Consider the following 24,694-nt stretch of genomic DNA (forward strand, 5'->3'; position numbering starts at 1 on the left):
CTGTAACCTATTTCTATGTCGTCACACTACTCATTTTTCTCATTTACCAAACTCTAAAAAATAAGGGTCTCTCCCGGGTGATGTCTTCCATTCCCAAGATTTCAAATGCTTTCTAATCCTGAGCACTTCCAAAGGTACATCCCTAACCCAGACACCTGCCCTAAGTTTCAGGCTGTGTATTCAACTTACCTAGTTCACGGGTGTCTGCATAGTGTTAAGTCTAATCCTGCTTCCCCGCCTGTCTTCCACCACCTCTCATTATGGCTCAAGCTGGAGACTTGGGAATCACTCTTCACACCTTCCTCTCCTTCACTCACCAGATCCAAACCATCACCCAGTCCAATGGCTTTTATCTCAAAAATATATCTTGTATATCTGAATATCCCCACTGCCCCCACCTGAAGCCAAAGTCAACTTCCTCTCTCGACTGAGTTGCTATATAATGGTCTACTAATGAGTCTATCTGCTTACACTCTTGTTGCTCCAGTCCAGTCTATATGAAGCAATTACAGCAACCTTTTGAAAATATCAATTAGGTCCTCTCACTCCCCTGCTTTGAAATATGTACTGGATTCTTGCTGTGAAATAAATCAAACTTGTTACTACACTCGTGTAGTCTCACTCTTCCTGCCTCGTGTGCCACACTCCCTTCTTGCTCACCATACTCCAGCCTTCTTCAGCCACTCCAGGGCCCCACTTCAGTCACTTCCTGGCTTCAGGGCCTTTGAACATGCTGTTCCCTCAACACGAAAAACTCTTCCCGCTCTGTGTGAGATGGCTCTATTCATCCTTTGCTCTTAGGTTAATTGTCATATCTTCAGAGAGGCCTTTCATGACCACCCAATCCTAAGAAAATCTCCATCATTCTCTCTCATAGCACCCTGTTTTCCTGTCTATCATAATTATACTTGATTTTATTTCTCTTTTTTGGAGTATTTTATGACTTGCTCTTTAGATGGAATCTTCACAGGAGAAATTGTTATTTAGGATTTCAATGAAGTTGGAAAAACAGGCTCTATCACCAGAGCGGCAACTATGATTTCAAGTAAAGTAACATAGGCTTTATATTTGCCAGCATTTCATAGTTTCCAATGTGCCCTTATTTGCATAATTCCTATCTTTTCCACAGGACTGGAGGCTTCACTGTAAGTGCAGTGCCTCCTCAGAGTGGGCTCTCACAATGTTAAACAGCAAAAACCCCTTATCTTTTCCTAATATCAAATATCATCATGACAATTAATTTTTAAATAAACTATTAATATTATATACATCTAGAAAAGTGAACAGATTATAAGCACACCAACTATATATATCCATGCTGCTGCTACCCAGATCAAGAAATGGAATATTTCCAGGATTCTATAAGCTCTTTTGACCTCCTCCTTCTTGCTACTGCTGTCCTCAAAAATCACCACTGTGTTAACTTGTAAATATCAGGGGACTTTGGCCCTTATTTGAGCTTTATAGAAATGGAGTCATACACGATGCACTGCTCTGTGTCTGGCTCCTTTCATGATTGTGAGAGTCGTTCATTTTGTTGCACGGAGAAAGAGTTAACCCATTTTTATCATTATACCATATTCCACTGTCGCCTGGTTGTGAATTGTTTTCACTTTAAGTTTTTCTAGTGGGTTTAATAGTGGAATCTCATTGTAATTTTAATTTCCATTTCCCCGATGACTAATGAGATTGAGTGTCTTTTGTGACTGCCTGCTAAAAATCTTTTGCCCATTTTCCACTAGAGTTGTTCCTTTTCTTATTGATGTATGGAGTTGTTTGTATATTCTGGATAGGAGTGCCTGTGTTTCTTTTGGTTCTGCATATAGCAAATAATCTGTTCCCACTTTGAGGCATGGTTTTCCCTTAACGGGAAGAGACTTCCTTAATAATATCTGTTGATGGAAAGAAGTTCTTAATTTTATCATGGTCTAATAGAATCAATATTTCCCTTTATTGTTAGGGCTTTTGGTATACTATATAGGAAATCTTTTGCCTAATCCAAGGTCATAAATAGAATACATTCGCATACGTTATCTTCTGTAAGAATGCTACTCAAAGCGTGGTCCACAGAATAATAACAGTCTGCACAATGTTTGTTACTGGCTTATGATGAGATAAACATATTGAGAGCAAGTGCTAAGAAACTTTTATAGTAATTTGACAGTTATGACATCCAAGCAGCATTTGATTTAATTTTACTAAAGTATCCGTCTGTGATGGATTAGAATGTTTTTTAAAAAGATCATTCACCATAGATATTTTAAAGTATTATTTTCAAACTTTTTTTTTTGGTAATAACTTCACATTTAGATCTACAAACCACATAAACTTAATTTTCATGTCCAGTGTAGAAAGAGGTGAAAATTCTTCTTTTTTTCACCCATTGTTTTGCAGTGTAATCTTTGCCACAAGTCAAGTGTCTGTATAAATGTGATTCTGCTCTGGGCTCGAATTCTGTTCCATCAACCCATTTGGCTGTTTGTGCAAATACCACACAATCTTAATTATTGTAGCTTTATAAATCTCCCTATCTGGTAGGATATATCTTTCAACTTTATTAATCTTTTTCAAGACTGTCCTGGTTATTCTTTACTTCTGGCATTTTTAATATATATTTTCCCACACATTTGCAGCATACTTTATTATTATTATTACTATTTTTGAGACAGAGTCTCACCCTGTTGCTCGTGCTGGAGTCAGTGGCAAGATCTTGGCTCACTGCAACCTCTGCCTCCCAGGTTCAAGTGATTCTCCTGCCTCAGCCTCCAGAGTAGCTGGGATTATAGGCATGCACCACCACACCCAGCTAATTTTTGTATTTTTAGTAGAGATGTGGTTTCACCATGTTGGCCAGGCTGGTCTTGAATTCCTAGGCTCAAGTGATCTGCCCGCTTCAGCCTCCCAAAGTGCTGGGATTACAGGCATGAGCCACCGCACCCAGCCTGCAGTATACTTTAGAATTAGCTTGTCAACCTCCACCAAAAAACTTGCTGCAATTTTTAAAACGTGATTGCAATGAATTTACAGACTGATATTGTTTATTATATATGCAAAGTATTTTTTATACATTCAAAGTATTATACATTCAAAAACTTCCATTCAGTAAATTATTTTCCATTATTTCATAATAATGTTTTGTGCCTGAATGCTAAAAGTATAAAATCTATATTTGGTTTGATTTTAAATGCTCCTCCATAATTAGATGGATCTTATTATGTCTTTGTTTTTTTTTTTTTACACTGATCCTTCTGTACAAGCAAGAAGAGCCTCCTAACAATTTCACACTGTGTTCATTCTCATCCTCTCTTCTGTGCCTTTCCACACACATTTACATTTATAGTGCCTCCTACCCACTCCTGTTGCCATTCCAAATTTTCAAACTCTGTCTCCTCAAAGTCCTTGTTAGATCTCATTTAACCTACTTTCCACTAACTGTAGCCCACAAGCAGATTTCTGTTTTCTGTTTGATGTGTTGGTAACTCTCACCAGCACTACCTCATTAAATCTCATTGGCTTTGACCAACCAGGTGTGCACTGAAGGTATCAGCTGCCATTTAAAACTCACAATGTTCTTAAATAGCTCTCTGAATGTTCTGCAGTCAGTAATAAAGGAATTAGGAAAATCTGGAACTGTTCACTTAAATCTTTTTTTAATTTTTTTGGGAGACAGTCTCGCTCTGTCACCCAGGCTGGAGTGCAGTGGCACGATCTCAGCTCACTGCAACCTCCGCCCCCTGAGTTCAAGCAATTCTTCTGCCTTAGCCTCTCAAGTAGCTGGGACTACAGGCTGCACCACCACGCCCAGCTAATTTTTGTATTTTCAGTAGAGACAAGGTTTCACCATGTTGGCCAGGCTGGTCTTGAACTCCTGACCTCAAGTGATCCACCTGCCTTGGCCTCCCAAAGTGCTGGGATTACAGGTGTGAGCCACTGTGCCCAGCCTCACTTAAATCTTGTTAGAAGCAGTCCTCTCCACTCATGCTTGAGTTTACTCTTAAAGATGAGTGGACATTTTTGGAAGGTAGCTAGAGTTTTTAACTTCAAGATCTAGCAGCCAGGCTCAGGGGGGGCGTGAGATTTTCTTTTGGGGTCATAAAAATGTTTTGGAACCAGAGAGAGACAGTGGTTGTACAGCATTGTGAATGTACTAATACCACTAAATTGTACAATTTAAAATGGTTAATTTTATGCTATGTGAATTTCACCTCAATTAAAAAAAATTTAGCCATCAAATATGTCTTCAGTCCCATAACTCTGAGTATAAGAGCTGGTGGCCAGCAGCTACCCGACAATATATGATTCAAGATAAGGAGAAAGAGATGAAATGCATGCTTTTGGGTTTCTGATTTGTAATTGCAAACTTGGCATGTGTATGACACTTACATAGCTTAGAGAAGTTCCATGAGCTTCTCTAACATAAAAACTCTTTAATAGTAAGGGTGAAAAGAAACACGGACCTTATGTGACCTTCAGAACTGTCTACATGAACACAAGTTTTTGTTTGTTTGTTTGTTTTAGGGGGATGGAAGCTTGCTCTGTCACCTAGCTGCCATCTCTGCTCACTGTAACCTCCACCTTCCAGGTTCAAGCAATTCTGCTGTCTCAGCCTCCTGAGTAGCTGGGACTACAGGTGTGCACCACCATGCCCAGCTAATTTTTGTAGTTTTAGTAGAGATGGGGTTTCAGCATGTTGGCCAGGCTGAAATGTTTCCTATTTTATTTATTTATTTATTTATTTTTTGAGACGGAGTCTCGCTCTGTCGCTCAGGCTGGAGTGCGGTGGCGCAATCTCGGTTCACTGCAAGCTCCGCCTCCCAGGTTCACGTCATTCTCCTGCCTCAGCCTCCCAAGTAGCTGGGACTACAAGCGCCCACCACCATGCCTGGCTAAGTTTTTGTATTTTTAGTAGAGACGGGGTTTCACCATGTTAGCCAGGATGGTCGCGATCTCCTGACCTCGTGATCCGCCCGCCTTGGCCTCCCAAAGTGCTGGGATTACAGGCATGAGCTACCGCGCCCAGCCTTTTTTTTTTTTTTTTTTTTAAGCCTACAGTACCTGGTATTCCTGGGCAGTCTCCCATCCAAGTACTAACCAGGCCCAACCCTGCTTAACTTCCAAGATCAGATGAGAGACCACAGTTCTTCTCACATTCTATTTTAGTTGTTACATATATGAAAAAACAAAACAAAACAAAATAACCACAGACCTCTGTGCGCTATATATCACTGAGCTTTGTGTGGCAACACATGTCCCTAAAGCATCAGATGCCCATGATAATAAGGTCGCAATGACAGAGGGCTTAACAGTCAGTACAACAGCCACAAGTCAGCTCATGAACTGCATTCAAACCTTAAAATGAAATCTGTAAGACAGCCAAGCATGGTGGCTCACACCTGTAATCCCAGCACTTTGGGAGGCCGAGGTAAGTGGATCACCTGAGGTCAGGAGTTCGAGACCAGCCTGGCCAACATGGTGAAACCTCATCTCTACTAAAAATACAAAAATTAGTCCAGCGTGGTGGCAAGCACCTGTAATTCCAGCTACTCGGGAGGCTGAGGCAGGAGAATCACTTGAACCTGGGAGGTGAGGTTGCAGTGAGCCAAGATCACGTCACTACATTCCAGCCTGGGCAACAGACTGAGACTCTGTCTCAAAAAAAAGAAATCTATAAGACAATTTAGAGAGGATAACCAGAAAGGCACAGCATTCCACACAAATTCAGTAGTTTAGACAAGTGTTTAAAGGAAAAATGTAGGAATTAGGTTACCTCCTTAAAAAAACATGAATACTTCCAAGAGAGTGTTGGGAAAGAAATAAAAACTAAAGTATTTCTATTACTTTTTAGGAAATATAAAAAACCATACTGGACTTCCTCACACCCATTCAGTTGAAATTTAGAAATAGTAATTCTATAACAGTGCTTGACATTTTTAAAGTACCATTCCTGAAGCTAAGAACAAATTTAGATACTGTGATACCACCAGCTTTTCATGTGGGCAGCTGTGTTCCAGAACTTGTAGAACTTCTGGCACAGACAGCAAAAGGTAGCAAAAATAGCTCAGATGAAATATGTGATGATACATGAAATTATATACTAAATTCTACATTATTGCTATTTTCTTTCCCTCTCATTAGAACATTAATATGTTCTAATTATATTAATATGATATATTAATATATACAATTATATTAATATGATATATTAATATATGCAATTATATTAATATGATATATTAATATATGCAATTATATTAATATGATATATTAATATATGCAATTATATTAATATGATATATTAATATATGCAATTATATTAATATGATATATTAATATATGCAATTATATTAATATGATATATTAATATATGCAATTATATTAATATGATATATTAATATATTTTCTCTCTTAATAAACCATTAAGCCCCAATGACTGGTAATCTTCACTAAATTAGCTGTACCTCCTTACTGCTGTGATGGCTAGTACGACTACTACCAACTTAGAAAGGGAAAAAAAGTCATGTGGTTGGCCTTAATGACAAGAAAAGTCACAGATTCACTTCTAATTTATAATTATCAGAATTAATGTGCAATTTTGAGTTGTCTCCATTAAATCCCTTGAACAGAATCATCATTTTGCTCCACATTCAGTTTATGTGTGTTTCCATCCTAATGCCTGAGCAACAGGGTGGTGGTGCTGATTGGAAGCTAACTTGCATTTTCATGTACGAACTCTGGAAGGGCAGAGCAGGCCACCAGTATCCTGTTTTCATGCAGCTCCTAACTATTGTGGGAGCCAGTGATGGGTCTTTGGCAATTGTGGGCAGCCTCCTGGGCCACAAGAATGGGGGCTTGAACAAAGGTGGAGATGTCCTGAAGCTGGAGAGAGGGTCAAACTACTTAAACTTTCTGCAACATCGTCATCTGATAATCTGAGTGAGTGACTCTCAAATGCACTCTAATCCAGCCCTTGCATAATTTACACTATATTCCTTCTGAATGCTTAAAGAACGGGGCCTCCTACAGAACAGCCATCGAGGTTGGCCTGAGGAGCACATACTCAACCTGAAGGAAGCTCTCTGGCTCCTTCCAGTACAGTGAAGCAGAGGTGCAGGGAACAGCTGGACAGACAGAACCGCAGGAGCAAGGAAGACCTAGGAGCCACAGGGAGCACACTGGAGCAACAGGGACACCCCTTCAGATCAGAAAGAGGTGGCCGCTGGCAACAGAAAACTGAAGTAGCAGCTAAAGAGAACTGGGAGACACTGAGGCCCCTTTAGAAAGGAGAGGGGTTTGGGAGACTAGCAGTCTAGTGATAAAATGGGGGAAGCTCAGAAGTAAATGGCATTGGAATAGTCCCCCAAGCCCCTGACCATCCTCCTGATTGGTCTGGTCTTGGATAACAAGGGTTAATTCTCATTTCGTGCTTTCATAGCATCCTCTGCAAATGTGGCTAAGGGTGGGTGACTGTGGGATAGCAGAAAGACCTACAGAAGGTAGTTTTTTACCAAAATAAGGCCTAAAAATGGACGCTATGCACTTCGATCTCTATCTTCAGAAGTCACAAGAGTGTAAAAAACCTGAAACCACTATTTCTCAATATGCTGTCTCTAGATGAAATGTTCTCATTTTTATGTTATACTGAAAGATATATACTGCAAAAGAATGCAACTTTATCTGACTACACATATGAACAGGCAGTCTATTCCAAGGTTATCCTGCTTCCAAAACTAGAAAGATGTAAAGTAGAAGAAAGACAAAGTACAACGTTTCACTCCTAAAGCTGTTAAGTTACCCTGTGTTGATAAACATGCTTACCATGCCATGCTTTCATAGCTCTTAATTAACATCTAAAAATATCTTTCTTTCCTCCTGCCTTCTGAAGGATTGTCACATGCTCCTGGGTTCTTGTCCCAGCCAGGCAGCATTTTCCTACCTCACGGTGATGAATATGTAGGAGAATGTGTGCCTCAGTATCCTTAGACCCCAGTTATACAAAATAAATATAATTTTAACAGCGTACCTCATTAGACTGCTAAAGTATTAACCAGACTTTAATTTCTGAACATTTCTTAGCATGCATTTTAACTTGACACATTTTTAACATTATCTTTCTGCATTAGATTAATGTAATGATCTCTGTTTTTCATGTAAAGCTAATATTTTGCCTAGTTTAACCTTTTAAAAAATGATTTAAGTCAGGGACAATCACAAGATGAGACTTAGAACTTATGAAGTCTGAGATGTATTTTCTGAAGTGATAATGGAGGGGCACCCCCTGGCTAAGTTTCTTAAAACAACAATATCGAGAAAAGGTAGATTTGGAGTATATTTTATTCTTACAACAATGGCTCACAACAAAATCAAAATAACTTGGCAACTCTAAGGAAACACATTTTGTGTAATCAAAGTTAAAAAGCAACATAAATGCATGTAGCTTTCTTTAATTAGATTCAAGGTCTGCATGTCTCTCTCTCTCTCCCTCTCTCTCTTTTTCTCAGATCCCTCCCTGAATCAGTAGTAGAAATGACCACCATTAGGACCCTTGTTTACTCTGGAAGAACTGATAAGGTTAAAAAATTTTTAAAAAGTCACCTGGCTGTCTCAAACACATGCCTGACAGGCCAACCAGTCACAACAGTGCCTTATTCAATCAAGTAGGAAACTGAAGTCATGGCTATTTGTACCTGATGTTCAGCCATCTGGCTTTCTGGACTCCTGCCAGGCTCTGGGCTCTCACTGAGTTTCAGCTCAATGGCCTCCATCTTCGTAGAGATGGACTGGAGGGAGTCCTGGTACTTCTGCTGGCGTTCCAAAGCTTCATAGAGTGTGCGCTGCTTCTCACTGATCTACACCAGAAAAGGGATATTACCAAATGCTTCCCAGCCCCTTATCTTTCAGATTACAACATTTCTTTCTTCAGTGCTTTACCTCTGTGGCCCAACATAGGGTACTCAACTGTGGACTGGATATGTAAACTCTCTGCATGTATTTCATAAGACAATCGCTAAGGTTACTGGTGTCTGGTGGGCATAAACTAGTCCACCTTGAAGACTTACCACATTCTTTAAGGTTTCCCAAGAACGCTGCAAATCACCCAGTTTGGCAGTAGCGGATGGCTCCAATCCCGGTTCATAGAACTCCTGGGATGCGGATGTGCTGGGGTGAATTTTTGCAGCATCTGTCTGCAACCTCTCAGCAGACAAGGCTTGGTAATATGCAATGTCCTGTGAGTGCAAAGCACAGTATTGAATTAAACAAAAAGACAAAGTCTAGATTAATATGCTCTGGGTACTGTTGGTCATGTCAAGGAAAGGTTTCAGATCTACACCTTTCATGGGGCACTACAAACTAGTAAATTAGTAAACTCTTGTGACAAGAAAAATGTAAAGACTGTATCAAAGCACACTGTAATTGTTTCAGAATTTTGGTTTATATATATCAAAAAACAACTTTACCAATATTTCAAGTTGCCAAAACTCAATCTTATTCTATGTTTGTTAAATGGAAATACAAAGGATTTAAGCAGTACACATGTATTTAAAGGTTGATTAGAATAGCAAAAAAAGAGAATCTTAATGATCTAGTTCCTAAAATGTTGTCGAATGTATTCATTAAAGTTTTAAATAATTTAAAAACTACTTGACTTAAATAAAATTAAATCTACAGATGCAGCCAGATCTTCACTATCTGTGGGTTCATCATTTGCTGAATTAATTTAAATATTTTGATATTAAATAAGAAAAATGTAATGGGGAAGTTACCACTACTCTAAGAAACAAATAATATAAAGGTTTTCTATGCATTTCCTAAAAGTATACACACAAAAAAAACAAAGTGAATGATGAAATATCATGCTTTCAAATTTTTTAAACCTATTATAACATTACATATTTTATTTGTACTGATAAAATTTACTATATCAAGAGATATAGTAAAGATATATCAAGAGATATAGTAAAGATGGTTTTTAACTGTTTCTATGGTTATTTATCTGTATTTCAGTAGAAATTTAATTGGGGGAGTAATTGCTATTATAAAGTTCATTGCTTTTGCAGTTGTACTGTTGAAGGGAATTATGTCAGCTTAAAATACCTGAGTCTTATTGAGAATCATGTATTGGTAAAAAGTATTGAAGAAGGCTCCAGCCGTCTGAGAAACAAATGTAGCAGTGTCATGCGGTAGAATGAATTCAGACTGGGACAGCTGAGATTCTAGCGAAATTCTCCTCTTGTGTAGCTATATAATTGGAGCAAATAACTTATATCTTGCACACTGGTTCACTCATTGGTCCAATCTTGGGTGGGATTGAGGATTATATGAAATAATATTTGAGTGACTATGACAGCTTCTACCCATTTTGTTGTTGTTCCTGAGGTCTCCAGATGAGTCCCCAACATTTATTGATGATATTGGAACATGGAGACTGCTTCCTCTTTATTCCTAACCCTGTCACTGTCTTGAGTGGATTACTCTTCATGTCCTTAATAGCTTTAGATCCATTGATCCTCACTCACTCCCACCCCACTTCAGTCCTCCACACCCTTGTATGCTGTCATCGCTCAGCTGGACTTGTAGTTATGTCTGAAGTTACTTAAACCCCTTTCTTGCCAAGACTCTTGTTTCTCTTGCTCTTTTAACCTTTACTTCATCCACTTGGAAACCCGCAAACATGACTCAATCCAGAGTCATTTATGCATGTGTGTGTGTTACTGACACACACACACACACATACACACACAAACACGCACACACACACATACACATGCAATCCAAGCTGTCAAGGAGATACTGCAACTTCTCAAATTTTCAAAAGTCTATGTATATTCACACTCACCCTTATCTTATGCTTTCCAGTTTCACTGCTTAAACCTGACTCTCCCACAGACTCTGAGAATCCCATAAACTGCTTTTTCAAGGATCTTGGTCTATTAACATCCTCTCTGGCTTTGTTGACTTTCTCTCTTCCATCCAAAAACACCTGCACGCACTGTTTCTTTTATTTGTTTTCTTGAAGGATATCACATTTTCTAAAAAGTCCACAGTTCACAATGTGACGGATCGTCACACGTGAATGCACTTGCACACACAGGCTCCATCCTAATTTCTTTGTTTTCTCCCTTTCATTTCATAATCCAACTTCTGAAAGGGTGATTTTCATGGGACTTTCTCACCCTCGATCCACTTCTAAATTCCAGTTTGGACTTTGATCCTGATGACTGCAGAGCTTGCTCTCACCAGCTTCTTCTCTTTGACAAAAAATGATGAATTTTCATCCCTTCCCTTGCCAGACCTCTAGCATTCAATAGCACTGACAAACCCTTTCCGGAAACACTTTCTAAAAAATCTCTCTGTTCTCCTCCCAGCTTTCTAGTCATTCACTCTTTCTCTTTTATAGTTTGTTTTCCACTCACTCGCCAATATTGGTGAATTGATAAGCTCCAGACTCACATATCCAGATGTTCATGCATATCCTGTAGGCTCTTCAAAGTCAACATTTCCAAAAGGAACCAATTTAGGAAAAAACAATGAAGTATTATCCATCTTGCAATAAATGGAATGTCTTCTCACCTAAGCTATAAACTTGGGATTTATTCCTGATTTCTCCTCCCCCTTAACATCCACTGCTTATGGGAGGATGGAGTGCTAACGATGCATATCCTGGCCACAGCCTTGGTTCAAGTTCTCATTACAGTAACAGCTTCCTAACTCAAAGGTTGCAAACTGGCAGCCTGTGGGCTGCCTCTGACCTGCACATATTTAGTGTGGCTTATACAATGTTTTAAATTGTTTAAAATCTCTCTTCATGAAGATAGAGAGATTTCATTAAAATTCACATTCGTAGCTTGTTTTGCAAACCACAAGGTATGGTAACACTGGGCCCTGTGTCTTTGTTAAAGTAATGCTAACAGAGGAGACATTGCCTCATTTATGTGGAGCAGGAGCTGTCCAGGCCTCTGTAGTCCCTCCTGGCCTCTGTAGTCCCTCCTGGCCTGTTTCTCTCATTTTTATCACCAGGGTGGACCAAGCATGAGACTGTGTAACTTCTGTTTCTAACAGCTCCCCTGGCTCTGAATTTGCACACTTCTATTCTCCTGTCCACATTGATCCAGAAGTATCAGTTCTGTACACAGCTTCTCATTAAATTCCCTCAGTGGTTAAATATTAGCTTCTGGAGGAAGCTGAAATTCCTTCCTGTGGCATTCAGGGCCTCCATGATGTGGTTCCCATATCCCTCTCAGTCTCATTTCCCCCTCTCCTCCTCCTCCAATGTTTCTCCAATTACACTGAAACTATTTGCAGTTGCCTGGATGGGCCATTTTGCTTCCCGCCTCCACAGCTTCCAACAGGTGGTTTCTTCTGCCTGAAAATCTTCATCTCACACGACCCAACTGCACTCCAACTGCCTAACTGTGCTCCTCCCTTAAAACTAAAGGGGGCCATCCTTGACCTCTGCCTGACTCCAGCCAGTTTAGGTGCCTTCTCTAGGCCCTCCCACAACACTGTACTGCCCTCGGCCACACTACCTGCCACCTTCTCTTGTAAGCATTTGCCTGTCCTCACACACACTGTAAGCTCCCTAAGGGCTGTCTGGGTCACTGCTTTTCGTCTTCATCCTGAGCACATTGTGGAGTGTTTGGCAAATAACAGGCAGGCCTATATGTTCATAATAAATCATGCTTGTAAATGCACTTATATAAATTCTATTATTTTATATACATGTAAAGTAATACTATTACTGTCCATAAGGAAAAGCAGGAATGCCTTTAAATGGTGTAAACATTTTACATTAGATACTCTATTATAAATACAGAAGGCTCCCAAAAGAGCTAGAATAAAATAAATTTATTACAAATAATTTTTTTCTGGCAGTCTCACTCTGTGTGTGTGTGTGTGTGTGTGTGTGTGTGTGTGTGTGTGTGCGCGCGCACGTGGCTCATGCCTACAGATATGAATGACAACTCCTGGTTTCTTAAAAGGATTTGAAAATATGTCACCTTTTATAGATGAATAATTTCTATTTATTTGAGGTACATACATAAATTGAATTAAAATAAATCACTCAGTACTATAAATAACTACTAAAGTCAATACTTGATGTAGTGAGGAGTCACTGTTACAAATACGTTTCTCATTGCTTATGTGCCTAAGTTATAAGACTTATGAGTAGATTCCTAAGGAAATAAATTTGGACAACTGTAGCTACTATTTGATCAGTATTTTCTAGTTTAAAAAGCACTTTCACGATTCATGTCACATTTCATTTTCACAATGCTGTGAATTAAGTAGTATTGCTTCTCACTTACAAATGAGGGTATCAAGGGACTTCCCAGGTGCACTCAGCTTAGAGGAGAAAGAGCTGCAACTCAGTGTGAGCTTTTAACTTGAAGGCCAATGATTTTCCCATTACACTCTTGCTCCCTCTTTTCAAATGTATTCCTCCCTCAACTCTTCTGCAGAGTCTAAGCCTTGGCTTGCTTCTAAGGGGAATCAAGAAGCCTACAGCAAAATCTAGGAATGCCTCGGTATTTCTACCTTCAAGTAAGCTAAACTGTTATTACATTTTAGCTAATAGCTACTGTCAGAGACAGAATACACTGTGAGTGGGACCAGGTAGTTATATAACGGAGATCTACTTGCAGGAACAGCAGGCACAAAACCTTTTTTTTTTTTAACAACTGTGATTTTATAAAGCAGTTCTATTTGGCTGCTCCCTGAAACAGCTGTACACATTCTGTGCACAAAACTCAGGGTTTTTAATCTGAAAACTGAAACTTAAGGGGATCCTACATGTCCTCCTCAGTTTCAAGAGACAATTTTATAAATCCAGTGCATCACCGGTCATGGTGTCATATTTTTTCATTGTCTTCTAACTGACATTACTATACAAAAATAACATGTGGCCGTAATGATGGGGTTGATTTGTTTGATGAACACCAAGCATAATACATTTCCTTTTTAACAGCTCCCTCAGAGTAAAGCTGTGTGTCTTAATCTAAGTAAAGGCATTTTCCCCTACTTTGCAGCATCACATGTAAGTATTTTAGATTAACAATGCAATTTAATTGATGTTTTCCTGTGACTAGGGGAGAGGGGAAGAATTAAAACAAAGCCTAATCTCACTGAGTTTTAGGACCTGATGAAGCTTTGTGGTTAATGTCAAGAAATAATAATAGAAATATTTGCATGTTTCATCATTTTTAGGGCACTTTCATGTATCCTTTGACACTTTACAAGAAGTAGCATGGAGATTTACAGTTTTAGAAAAGGTATATTTTTTCCACAAAGTCTCAAATAAGTATTTATTATTCAGTTTGAAAAATTTGAGAACCTAAACCATATTAAATAGAACAATTTTTTCTATATAATAATCAGCCGACTATAGCTTAATTTCTGTAATAACATCTGTAACCATAGGGAAGGACAAATCATCAAAGAATGAGTAATACATATTTTAAAATGAGAATTTGAAAAACACTTTCCCAAATTCCCCACGGCTCCCTGAACTTCTCCTTTTATGTTGCTGTTTTTAGTTTCCTCTGATCACATTGTTATTATCTGTCCCATGTCTGCCTTTCTCTCTAGACTGTCAGGGCCTTGCAGGTAGGGCCATGCTGACTCCTTCTCAGCTGCATCCTCAGGAACCAACACAAGGTTTCACGCTGAGCAGGTGTCAGAATGTACTTGACAAATGGATGAGTTGATAATTTCCCTAGAGCTATCCTGATTTTTACCAAGAGAACAGTGTAAGTGTATTAACTAAAGGTTTCATCACCTTGATGTTCCTTTTTTTTTTTAATGAGGGGGGATTCTCTTTATCACAGAAATCCTATGACAGTCTGAATGCTTCTGCTTTAAAATAAAAGTAATATAATTGAATTATAATACAGGTTATAAAACATTTGCTCTGTTTAATGCTTCTCCCTTAATAATACATATCAACTTCTTTGAAAAAATGTAATTTCATAGAATAGTTTACATTTTTTAGTTGTCTTCACTAAAAAATAAAGTATTACTTAACATGCATTAAAAGTCTTTGGTTACTATAAAGGCATATTTTTGATTTCTATCTAACATTTGACATAAAAGCTTTTTGACATTTAATTTAGTATTATCTACATTTAATACATGGTAAAAGGCTTCTTATAACTAAATGGTTATTTTATTTTCCCCATTTTATAGAAAATAAAATTTAAGATTATTGAAAGATAAGTTAAACACTCAAATCTAGTAGGCATTCTAGTATAAATATGGCAGACATTCCTTACATTGGTACACAAGTTGCAAATAAAGAAGAAGTCTGACATAATAAATGGAAGTTTCCTGTCTTCAAAATCTGAGCTGGTAAATGCCAGCACTATTTTCAATGCATGTTATAAAGCCATCGAATCACGTTATTTTACAATGGTGACACACATCTTTTATTTTCTGTTGGATGCAGAACCCCATTCCAGATGATTGCTGGAAACTAAGGCCATAATGTCTTAAAACAGAGCCTTCTGGGCTATCATTCCCATGACCTAATTTTTGTTCATCCCACTTTCTGTAGCCCAGGAGAGGAGATGACATACTGAGACACATGACAATCATAGTTTGTGCAACTATAACACCTAATAGTGTGTCCCTGGAACCAAATGCAACAAAGTCTGAGATTCATACCCACGATCTAATGGAAACAGAGAATGGAGTCCTGCATCTGCCCAGAGATTATTGCTAGAGGAATGCCAACTGGGAGGTACCTGGTTAACAGAAGCATCTGTATTAGCCACAGGTGAAGGGGAGCGACAGGCAGGTGGAGAGGAAATCTCACTGTTGGTTCCCTCCTCCCCAGACTCCTCAGTGACCGGTGACAGCAAAGTGTGACAGCGACCTGCAGTCATCTGCCACGTAAAATGTAGCCCAAAGGACATGAAAATCAATTAGCTATGTTAACATAAGTCCTGTTCAGGCACAGGCCAAAACAGAGTTAATTATAAAACGAAGGTTAAAATTACTGGGACCCGAATTCACATATTAATCCTGTGTTAGTATTTAAAAGTTCTGTCTTCAAGAGAATATGATGCTAGTAATCATTTGTAAAACAATCAGGGATGGGGGTGCATATGACATTGAAGTTTTGTTGTTGATTAAATACTTCATTATTTTCCTTTCTTTGGAGAGTTTGTGGCTTTATAAATAACTGGAAAAATCACGAATCATACAAATGAGAAAAGGTCTGTGAAATAAAGCTTGGTCTTTTGTGGACATCTCAAGTTTCAAATATGGTAGGAAGATAAATGCACCCAAAGTACTGTTATTGCCAAATGGGCTCAGGTATGGTTACTCATTACCTGAGGCACAGCACATATAAGGGAAAACACACAGCACTGGGAAACATTATAGTCACCAAAATACTCAATGCATTTTAGATGGCAAGTGTATAGGAAAATAGTGGTGCAGAATAGAAAATAACAAAGTTGATTTATTTTAATCCAAAGCCAAGCTTTAGACGGTCTGTTTTCATATTTTTCTAACAATAGCTGTTCTTCTAAATTGTATTACACATTTATACAGTAGAGTACATGCACATATGTAGTTAGCTAGTTAGCGTGGAGACCACAACTAAATATATATGCCATGAATTTCCCATCCCCCAGACAACTAAAACACTGTGCAAGTAAATTATTGTTTAAAGCTCAGAGCCTCTCAGTATTATTGCGAAATTATAAACAAATACAGGGTAGACCTCTGACATGTTAAGTAATTCAGCTGTCTCGAGCACATAGTTTCATTTTAACTGTCATTGTTTACAGTGTCAAAGATTGGCCCGGCCCAACGGTAGTCAAAGAGACTTAAGGAATCTGTTCCTCCCTCTGAATCTGCAAGATCGAAGGCTGGTCCCTGAAATCAGCCACGGAGAGGGAACATGGAGCCACTCGCCAGGCTCCAGTCAAAGAGCAAAGCCGCGGGGACCCACTGGATCCTTACCATGACCACAGAGGGGTGGGCCGAAGGCGTGGGGAGGAGCTCCCCATCCAGGTCCTCTGTCCCTTCCGCCAGCCCCTCGACCTCGGTCACCGTCAGCAGCATGGTGGCGTGCTTGGCTTTCATCGTCAGCATCTTGCACTTGGAATTCAAAGAAGCGATCTGCTCCTGGTAGCCCTTAATTTTCTGCGCCAGCTCCTGAGGAAACATTTCCCCCACCGGGGTGTCAGAGCAGCATCAAAAGGAAACAGAAGTAGTAGCGTTCATCTTCCTGCAGGGCGAGCCAATGAGCGCGCAGAGCCGCGCGGGCCCGGGAGGCAGGATGTGTAGGCGGCGAGTCCTCCTGCATCTCGCTACCGAGCCAGACCGCAGGCTGCGCGGCGCGGCGCAGGCACAGCCAAAGTGCCCGAGCCCGCGTCCCCGCGTCGGTACAAAAGGAGAAATGAGGGGATGAGGCCGAATGAGTGGTTTCTAATCGCGAGAGGCCCCATATGGAATCATGAACTTCCGCAACATTAGGAACTGACAACTCTCTTTAAAAGCAGAAAGCATCTGAAATTTACCAGATGGTTCCTGCCATGGAAATTAGGTCATGTGATGGCTAAAACCACACCAAAAAAAATGCAAGGCTCAGCTCTTACCCTACTGAGTACATTCAACAGAGATGACAGTCATTTATTTTACATAGGGTCACATACTCAATAGCCTGTCTGTTCCTATGTCTCTAAGAATTTTTTTTAGATAGGCTAGATATTGCATATGGAAATCCCAATTTTTAATGCAGATTGACCCCCCAAAAAAATTTTGTATATTCATCAAATTTTTTCTTGCTCACTTCATCATGTCTCAAATGTTGCTGAGGCTTTAACTAGAACTTTAAACTTGAAATGCAATTCGGATTTAGTGTCTTTTAATTTCACTTGCTTTTGAAAAAATAATTGTTTTTTTGTTTTTGTTTTTGAGCAGACAAGAATGAAAAAATATATTATGAGAGATAGAGGTTTTAAATATTTTATTAAGAGCTTATTGGAAATATAATCTGGATAGCACATAACCCTTAAAAAGGTAACTATAGATTCATTTTAGGAGTATGGTAATTCTAAAATATTAAAGTTTTACTTTCTTGCTTAAATATTTTAAGTATCAAATATTAAAATTATACTTTATTGCATCTTTAAAAAACGAAAATACATATTTCAAAACATGATTCCTAAAAGTACAAAACTATTATTCTTTTTTTTTTTTTTTTTTTGGCTTCTTTGTTTCAGAGGCTGTCATTTATTGTGCACATAGAACACATTTTGTGGGCCGGGTGCAGTGGCTCATGCCTGTAATCCTAGCACTTTGTGAGGCTGAGACGAGGGGATCACTTGAGATCAGGAGTTCAAGACCAGCCTGGCCAACATGGTGAAACCCTGTCTCTACTAAAAATACAAAAATTAGCCAGAAATTGCTTGAACCCGGGAGATGGAGGTTGCAGTGAGCCAAGATTGTGCCACTGTACTCCAGCCTGGGCAACAGAGTGAGACTCTGTCTCAAAAAAAAAAAAAAGAACACATTTTGTGACAAAAATATTAAATTGTAATGTCTTTAAAATAATTGTGTACATACATACACATACATTCATATATATACACACACATATACACATGCACACACACATATGTACACATAGTCATCCCTCAGTAACTGAGGGGCGTTGGTTCTAGGAACCCTCTTAGATACAAAATTCACAGATATTCCAGTTTCTGATGTAAAATGGCATAGTATTTGCATATAACCTATGCACATCTTCCCAAATACTTTAAATCATCTCTAGATTACTAATAATACCTAATACAATGTAGATGCTATGCATTATAAATAGGTGTTATACTGTACAATTTAGGGAATAATGACAAGAAAAGAAGATCAACATGCAGAGATGCAACCATCCTTTTTGCTCCTCAAATATTTTCCATCCATGATTGGTTGAATTCATGGATGCAGAACTTATGGATATGGAGGGCTGACTGTATGCAAAACACGTGTGCACATGCACACACACACACACACACACACATTTTGTTATTATTGTTGTTTTGTTTGTTTCTTCCTGCCCAACTGAAGCCGAGTGGAGCAAAAAACAGTCCAGCAGAACTCAGCCAGCAGGCAGTCAGTCTTCTTGACTCCTAATAGTATAGGAATTTTTAAAACAAGGATTTAAAAAGTAGACATCATTGCTTCTTTACCTCTGGGGATGCAGTTAATTAAACCTAATAGGATTTTTAAAAACAGTGATTGAATAGCTATTTACTATATCTTGTCTAGTGGCTAGCACGTGGGTACTCAATAAATGACATTTACTGCAACTAGTTAATACTAGAAAAGAGCTCTAGCAGATTACTGGACTCCTTGAATTTCAAGTCACCAAGCTTTCGCACAATGGTTTGCCATTATACAAAAATTGAAGGAATCTTTTTTATTATTTTATTTTATTTTATTTTTGAGATGGAGTCTCGCTCTGTCACCCAGGCTGGAGTGCAGTGGCGCAATCTCGGCTCACTGCAACCTCCATCTCCGGGGTTCAAGCCATTCTCTTGCCTCAGCCTCCCAAGTAGCTGGAATTATAGGCACGCGCCACCATGCCCAGCTAATTTTTGTATTTTTAGTAGGGACATGTTGGCCAAGCTGGTCTCGAACTCCTGATCTCAAGTGATTTGCCTGCCTTGGCCTCCCAAAGTGCTGAGATTACAGGCGTGAGCCACCATGCCCGGCAATTTGAGGAATCTTTATGAAGTAGACAGAGTTAGTATTAGGCCTTCCACCCTTTGTAATCACATGGCTGGGCACAGCTCCCTGCTACAGTATCCTGCAAAGATGTGCCCACACTGACAGCAAGTGACCATTTCTTAAGCTGCAATTCTCAACCTTATTGTGTACAAAACTCATTTGGATTGTTTCTTTAAAAAATGCAACTCTGGTCACCACTTCCAAAGGTTCTGATTTACCAGGTGTATGACAGTCTGCACTTCATAATTAGCCCATGTGACTCCAATGCACGTGACTTCCACTGAGAAATAGTACTCTACGACTTGCTTCTGTAAGTGTAAACCTCTTGTAATCTCATTACCTTTGAGGGTTGGTTATTCAAGCTGTGGTCAAATCCACTAAAATAAAATGGAACACTTGGTTTAATGTTACCCATTCTCTTTATAAAATTTCTGAAAATGTTTATAAAGGTAGGAATTTCAGGTAGAGTGGCCGCTAGAAGACAAGCAGCCCTCTGTGGCCAGTCTCTGGTATTCATGAGCAGGCTTTCCGCATCAGGCGGAAAGAAAAGAGGTGTGAGTATCCTCTCCTATGATTTAAAAGTGGCAGGATGATTTTTTTCAAATTAAATGCAACTTTTGAAAAAGTATTATTATTATTATTTTTTGAGACAGAGTCTCTCTCTGTTGCCCAGGCTGGAGTGCAGTGACACAATCTTGGCTCACTGCAACCTCCACCTCCCAGGTTCAAGCGATTCTCCTGTCTCAGCCTCCCGAGTAGCTGAGACTACAGACACCCGTCACCACCCAGGCTAATTTTTGTATTTTTAGTAGAGACGGGGTTTCACCATATTGGCCAGGCTGGTCTCAAACTCCTGACCTTGTGATCTGCCCGCCTTGGCCTCCGAAAAGTACTGGGATTACAAGTGTGAGCCACCACACCTGGCCGAAAAATTATTTTTAAAAGTTTGAATTCCTTAGGCATAAATAAATGATCAGTTATTTTTAAAGTTATTTGTAAGAAAACTAGATTCACCATAAGATTGAGATTCAATTAAAACAAGACAGAAAATACAGGCAGAAACCCTCTTCCCAATTTGTATGTTATCATCAGTTAAGCTTTCTCCACTCAGCACTTTCCTTCCTGTGTTTGTTTTATACATACAATGAAGCTCACACAGGACTGCATCATTTTTTACATGAAAATGTGTTCTAAGTCACAGTTGGTTTAAAACTAACAAACATAACATGGATGTTCAGAACTGTGGAAGAAAATGTGACAAAATAAACAGCTCACTGGACCAAGAGTCAGGAAGACATAGTCCACTGCTGACTGAGCTGAGTTCACTCTGTGACCTTGGGGGACTCATTTATTTTCCTGGGACTTCATTATTCTCTTTTGTTTAATTAAGTAGCCCAGATAGTTTCTGTTACAGTGGAAGAAAAATCACGGAATTTGGACACAAAGATACTGAGACTGAGTCCAATTTCAATCAGTTACTAGATTTAGGAGCTCAGGAAGTCATTTTTTCTAAGTTCAGTTTTTTTGTCAGTAAAATAAAGATGATTTTAAAAAAATCCTTACCCCGGCCAGTCGTGGTGGCTCACTCCTGCAATCCCAACACTTTGGGAGGCCAAGGTAGATGGATCACTTGAGGTCAGGAGTTCAATACCAGCCTGGCCAACGTGGTGAAACCCCGTCTCTACTAAAAATACAAAAATTATCAGGGCATGGTGATGTGCGCCTGTAATCCCAGCTACTCGGGAGCCTGAGGCAGGAGAATCGCCTGAACCCAGGAGGTGGAAGTTGCAGTGGGCCAAGATTGCACCACTGCACTCCAGCCTGGGCAACAGAGCGAGACTCCATCTAAAAAATAAATAAATAAATAAATAAATAAATAAATAAATAAATACCTCATAGAGTTGGTATAAAAAAGTGATGTAAAATTTTGTAAGTTACTTTAAAAAACATAAAGCTGGCTGGGCATGGTGACTCATATCTTTTATTCTAGCACTTTGGGAGGCTGAGGCAGGCATATCACTTGAGCCCAGGAGTTTGAGACCAACCTGGATAACATGGCGAAACTCTGTCTCTACTCTACAAAAAAAAAAAATGCAAAAACTAGCCTGAGGTAGTGGTACATGCTCGTAGTCCCAAATACTTGGAGGCTGAGGTGGGAGGACTGCCTGAACCCAGTAGGTACAGACTGCAATAAGCCATGATCCCACTGTGAGCCATGATCTTGCCACTGCACTCTAGCTTGGATGATACAGCAAGACTGTGTCTCAAAAAAAAAAAAAAAAAAAAAGCACAAGTTTCTTGGGGAAGAAAAACCGTACAACAAAAAAGTTTAGTAGTAATAACAATTATTACTCCAGAAAAGATTTTAAAAATATCTGTACCATGATAGAAGAGTTGTTACAACAAAATTTTGGATCTTCCTAGATGGGATTAAAAATCGTTTCAAAATAAATATGTAATATATAGTCTAACATATAGACCTACATAAACAGTGGTTTCAAAAATCTACATAACACTTTCATTTAACCATTGTGTAAGAAAAATCATTAACATAGATGATGTCTACAGTTGTTGGAGTAAATGTAGATGGGATATTTAAATGATTTTGTAAGTCATATATAAATGAAAATTATTAATGTTTGTAGATGTCAAGAAATTAAATAATTAATTGCATTTGGAGAAGAGGGTGAGATTTTTCATCCTTACAAAGCAATACCTTGAATCTTTTGAGAATCTCAATGTGAGTGGTTTGGAAAAATTGTTCATTTTTCTCATGACAAAGTTAAAATAGAGCATATGGAAGGATATATTCCATATACTCTATCCTTAGTACAGAAAAAATAAGACAACCTTCTCCCAGTTATTTACCAAAATTCACAGTGCTATGAACCAGCCCCCAAGGGAAAGAGTGAATTTGACCTATATGGAATTGACAGGTCAGGAAAGGAAATTCCCTGCTAAGCTCAATCACTCAAGGACTATGATGTCTGGGACAGGGACTGCACAAGGAGTGGTCAAGTCCTAAGGTCATAATGATGCCAAAGGAACAAGGAAAGAACATTTGAAAACGAGGCACATGTTAGCTGGCCCAATCTGAAAATTAGCAAAGTAAACAACCTGGACCATCCTCTGATTTTGGGGAGAGGAACTGAAATGACTAATATGTCAAAGAAGAAAATGTTTAAAATATTAAGTCTTGTTTGTTTGTTTGTTTGAGACTGAGTCTCACTCTGTCGCCAGGTTGGAGTGCAGTGGCGCGATCTTGGCTCACTGCAACCTCTGCATCCTGGGTTCAAGTGCTTCTCCTGCCTCAACCTCCGAAGTAGCTGGGATTACAGGCGCATGCCACCACACCCAGCTAATTTTTGTATTTTTAGTAGAGACGGGGTTTCACCATGTTGTCCAGGATGGTCTCCATCTCCTGACCTCATGATCCACCCATCTTGGCCTCCCAAAGTGCTGGGATTACAGGAGTGAGCCACCAAGACAGAGATCAATGCAGCAAAGCTTTAAGCGTTGCTGTTTCTCGTAGGCATTAAAAACAGGGTATGGACTGTGTTTTAGTGTATTAACTGTGAGAATTCTGGGTGCAGGAGATGATAATCAGTGGGTCCCAAAGGATATAATACGAACAACGTGTAGAGAGGTTATGGAATCAAGGGGAACGCACGTGTTACTGAATCAACAAAAACGGCACTCACAATGCTTAGATAGCCAAAGAGGCCTCTCAAGAGTTGAACACATTAAGTGCAGGACAGGGGAAACTGTTCTCTTCCATTCTCTAGAAACCAAACATATACTCTAATCAAGCCAGTTTCCTGCCCTCGGTATTTCGCCTACATTCCTCTCACCTCATGCCGAGAAATCTGAGCCTGCAGCTCCTGTATGTTACTGGTGGCAACAGGTTTATCCTCAATCTCTCTGTGAGCTCCTTCTATCAGTTGCTGGAGATGTTTCATTTCTTGCTCATATTGTTCATATTGTACCACAGCTTCCTTTGAAAAAAAAAAAAAACAGAAAGATAGACAGTTTTTTTTCTCTACCAATAACTAGGTAAGTGATTCTGTAGTTTAACTCCTATTTACCTGTACAGGTAGGGAATAAAGAAATGATGGGTAAAATTCCTAGATGGTTTGAATTCCTCACTTTATGTAGATATTTCAGAACTTTCTCTCTAAAATGTTGTAGCAAAATTATTGATGGAATCAAAATAGTTAAGTGGTTAGGATTCTTTCTCTCTCTTTTCCCTACTGATATCGTCCTGAAGATGGAACATGACGGTCAGAAAGGGTGAAGCAGTGTGGGAAACATTATTTCATTTTTCCATCTAACAAATACTGAATATATAGGTAAGACACTTATCTAAGTGCTACGGTAGGGAATAAAAATACGAATTATGGGCTGGGCGCAGTGGCTCAAGCCTGTAATCTCAGCACTTTTGGAGGCCAAGGTGGCTGGATCATGTGAGCCCAGGAGTTCAATACAGCCTGGGCAACATGGTGACACCCCCATCTCTACCAAACAAAAGTATATACACATATGAAGTATGAATGACTTTTAGCCTCAGGAATTTTCTGTCCAACAAATTACAAGATAACAGGGAGGAAAGGGTAGTTGACCAAATGAGCCACTAGTGATTTTAGTGAGATGCTATTGATACAATTTTTGGATAAAGCAAGAATTATTAGTTGAAGGGAGACATAAGGTAAACACTGTCATTTCTTCCTGGTAAATGATTTTCTCTTACTAGGCAAAGAGACTAAGAATTATACTTGAGTGCATTTTTTTAGGCACTCAAAAGAAAATGGATTTAATGCTTTAATAAGCTGAAATATGAAAAAAACTCTGTAACACAAGATAACAGTAAACCTGTATTATCAGTTTGTAGATGATTCTCAGGTGAATAATAAGAGATAAAAACATGTAATTGCATAGAAAATTAATCTTTACAAGTTATTTA

At 39.0% G+C, this 24,694-nt stretch overlaps 1 protein-coding gene across 49 annotated transcripts in view, besides 3 other annotated features; it reads right to left on the bottom strand.

Moving 5' to 3' along the window:
• The window catches only part of SYNE1 (spectrin repeat containing nuclear envelope protein 1), a 515,676-nt gene that overhangs the window by 163,217 nt on the left and 327,765 nt on the right, over nt 1-24,694 (bottom strand). For 41 of the 49 annotated variants that reach the window (XM_047418508.1, XM_017010610.2, XM_017010609.2 and 38 more), the window contains 5 exons: nt 23,586-23,729; nt 16,966-17,160; nt 15,738-15,878; nt 9,057-9,224; nt 8,685-8,846 (listed from right to left, as the gene is read on the bottom strand). In XM_047418508.1, coding sequence (XP_047274464.1) covers nt 8,685-8,846; nt 9,057-9,224; nt 15,738-15,878; nt 16,966-17,160; nt 23,586-23,729 — 810 coding nt within the window. The remainder of the gene's footprint in view (nt 1-8,684; nt 8,847-9,056; nt 9,225-15,737; nt 15,879-16,965; nt 17,161-23,585; nt 23,730-24,694) is intronic. The other 8 variants (XM_017010615.2, XM_017010614.2, XM_047418511.1 and 5 more) reach the window with 1 other exon arrangement.
• Nucleotides 16,827-16,876: an enhancer, noted in NCBI's record as "active region_25286". NCBI's record gives its function as "activates an Ori minimal core promoter by ATAC-STARR-seq in GM12878 lymphoblastoid cells {active_cell/tissue: GM12878}" and the evidence as "EXISTENCE:reporter gene assay evidence [ECO:0000049][PMID:35858748]".
• Nucleotides 16,927-17,326: an enhancer, noted in NCBI's record as "active region_25287". NCBI's record gives its function as "activates an Ori minimal core promoter by ATAC-STARR-seq in GM12878 lymphoblastoid cells {active_cell/tissue: GM12878}" and the evidence as "EXISTENCE:reporter gene assay evidence [ECO:0000049][PMID:35858748]".
• Nucleotides 17,477-17,546: an enhancer, noted in NCBI's record as "active region_25288". NCBI's record gives its function as "activates an Ori minimal core promoter by ATAC-STARR-seq in GM12878 lymphoblastoid cells {active_cell/tissue: GM12878}" and the evidence as "EXISTENCE:reporter gene assay evidence [ECO:0000049][PMID:35858748]".

This window comes from Homo sapiens, chromosome 6 (assembly GCF_000001405.40).
Source record: "Homo sapiens chromosome 6, GRCh38.p14 Primary Assembly".
Taxonomy (NCBI): domain Eukaryota; kingdom Metazoa; phylum Chordata; class Mammalia; order Primates; family Hominidae; genus Homo; species Homo sapiens.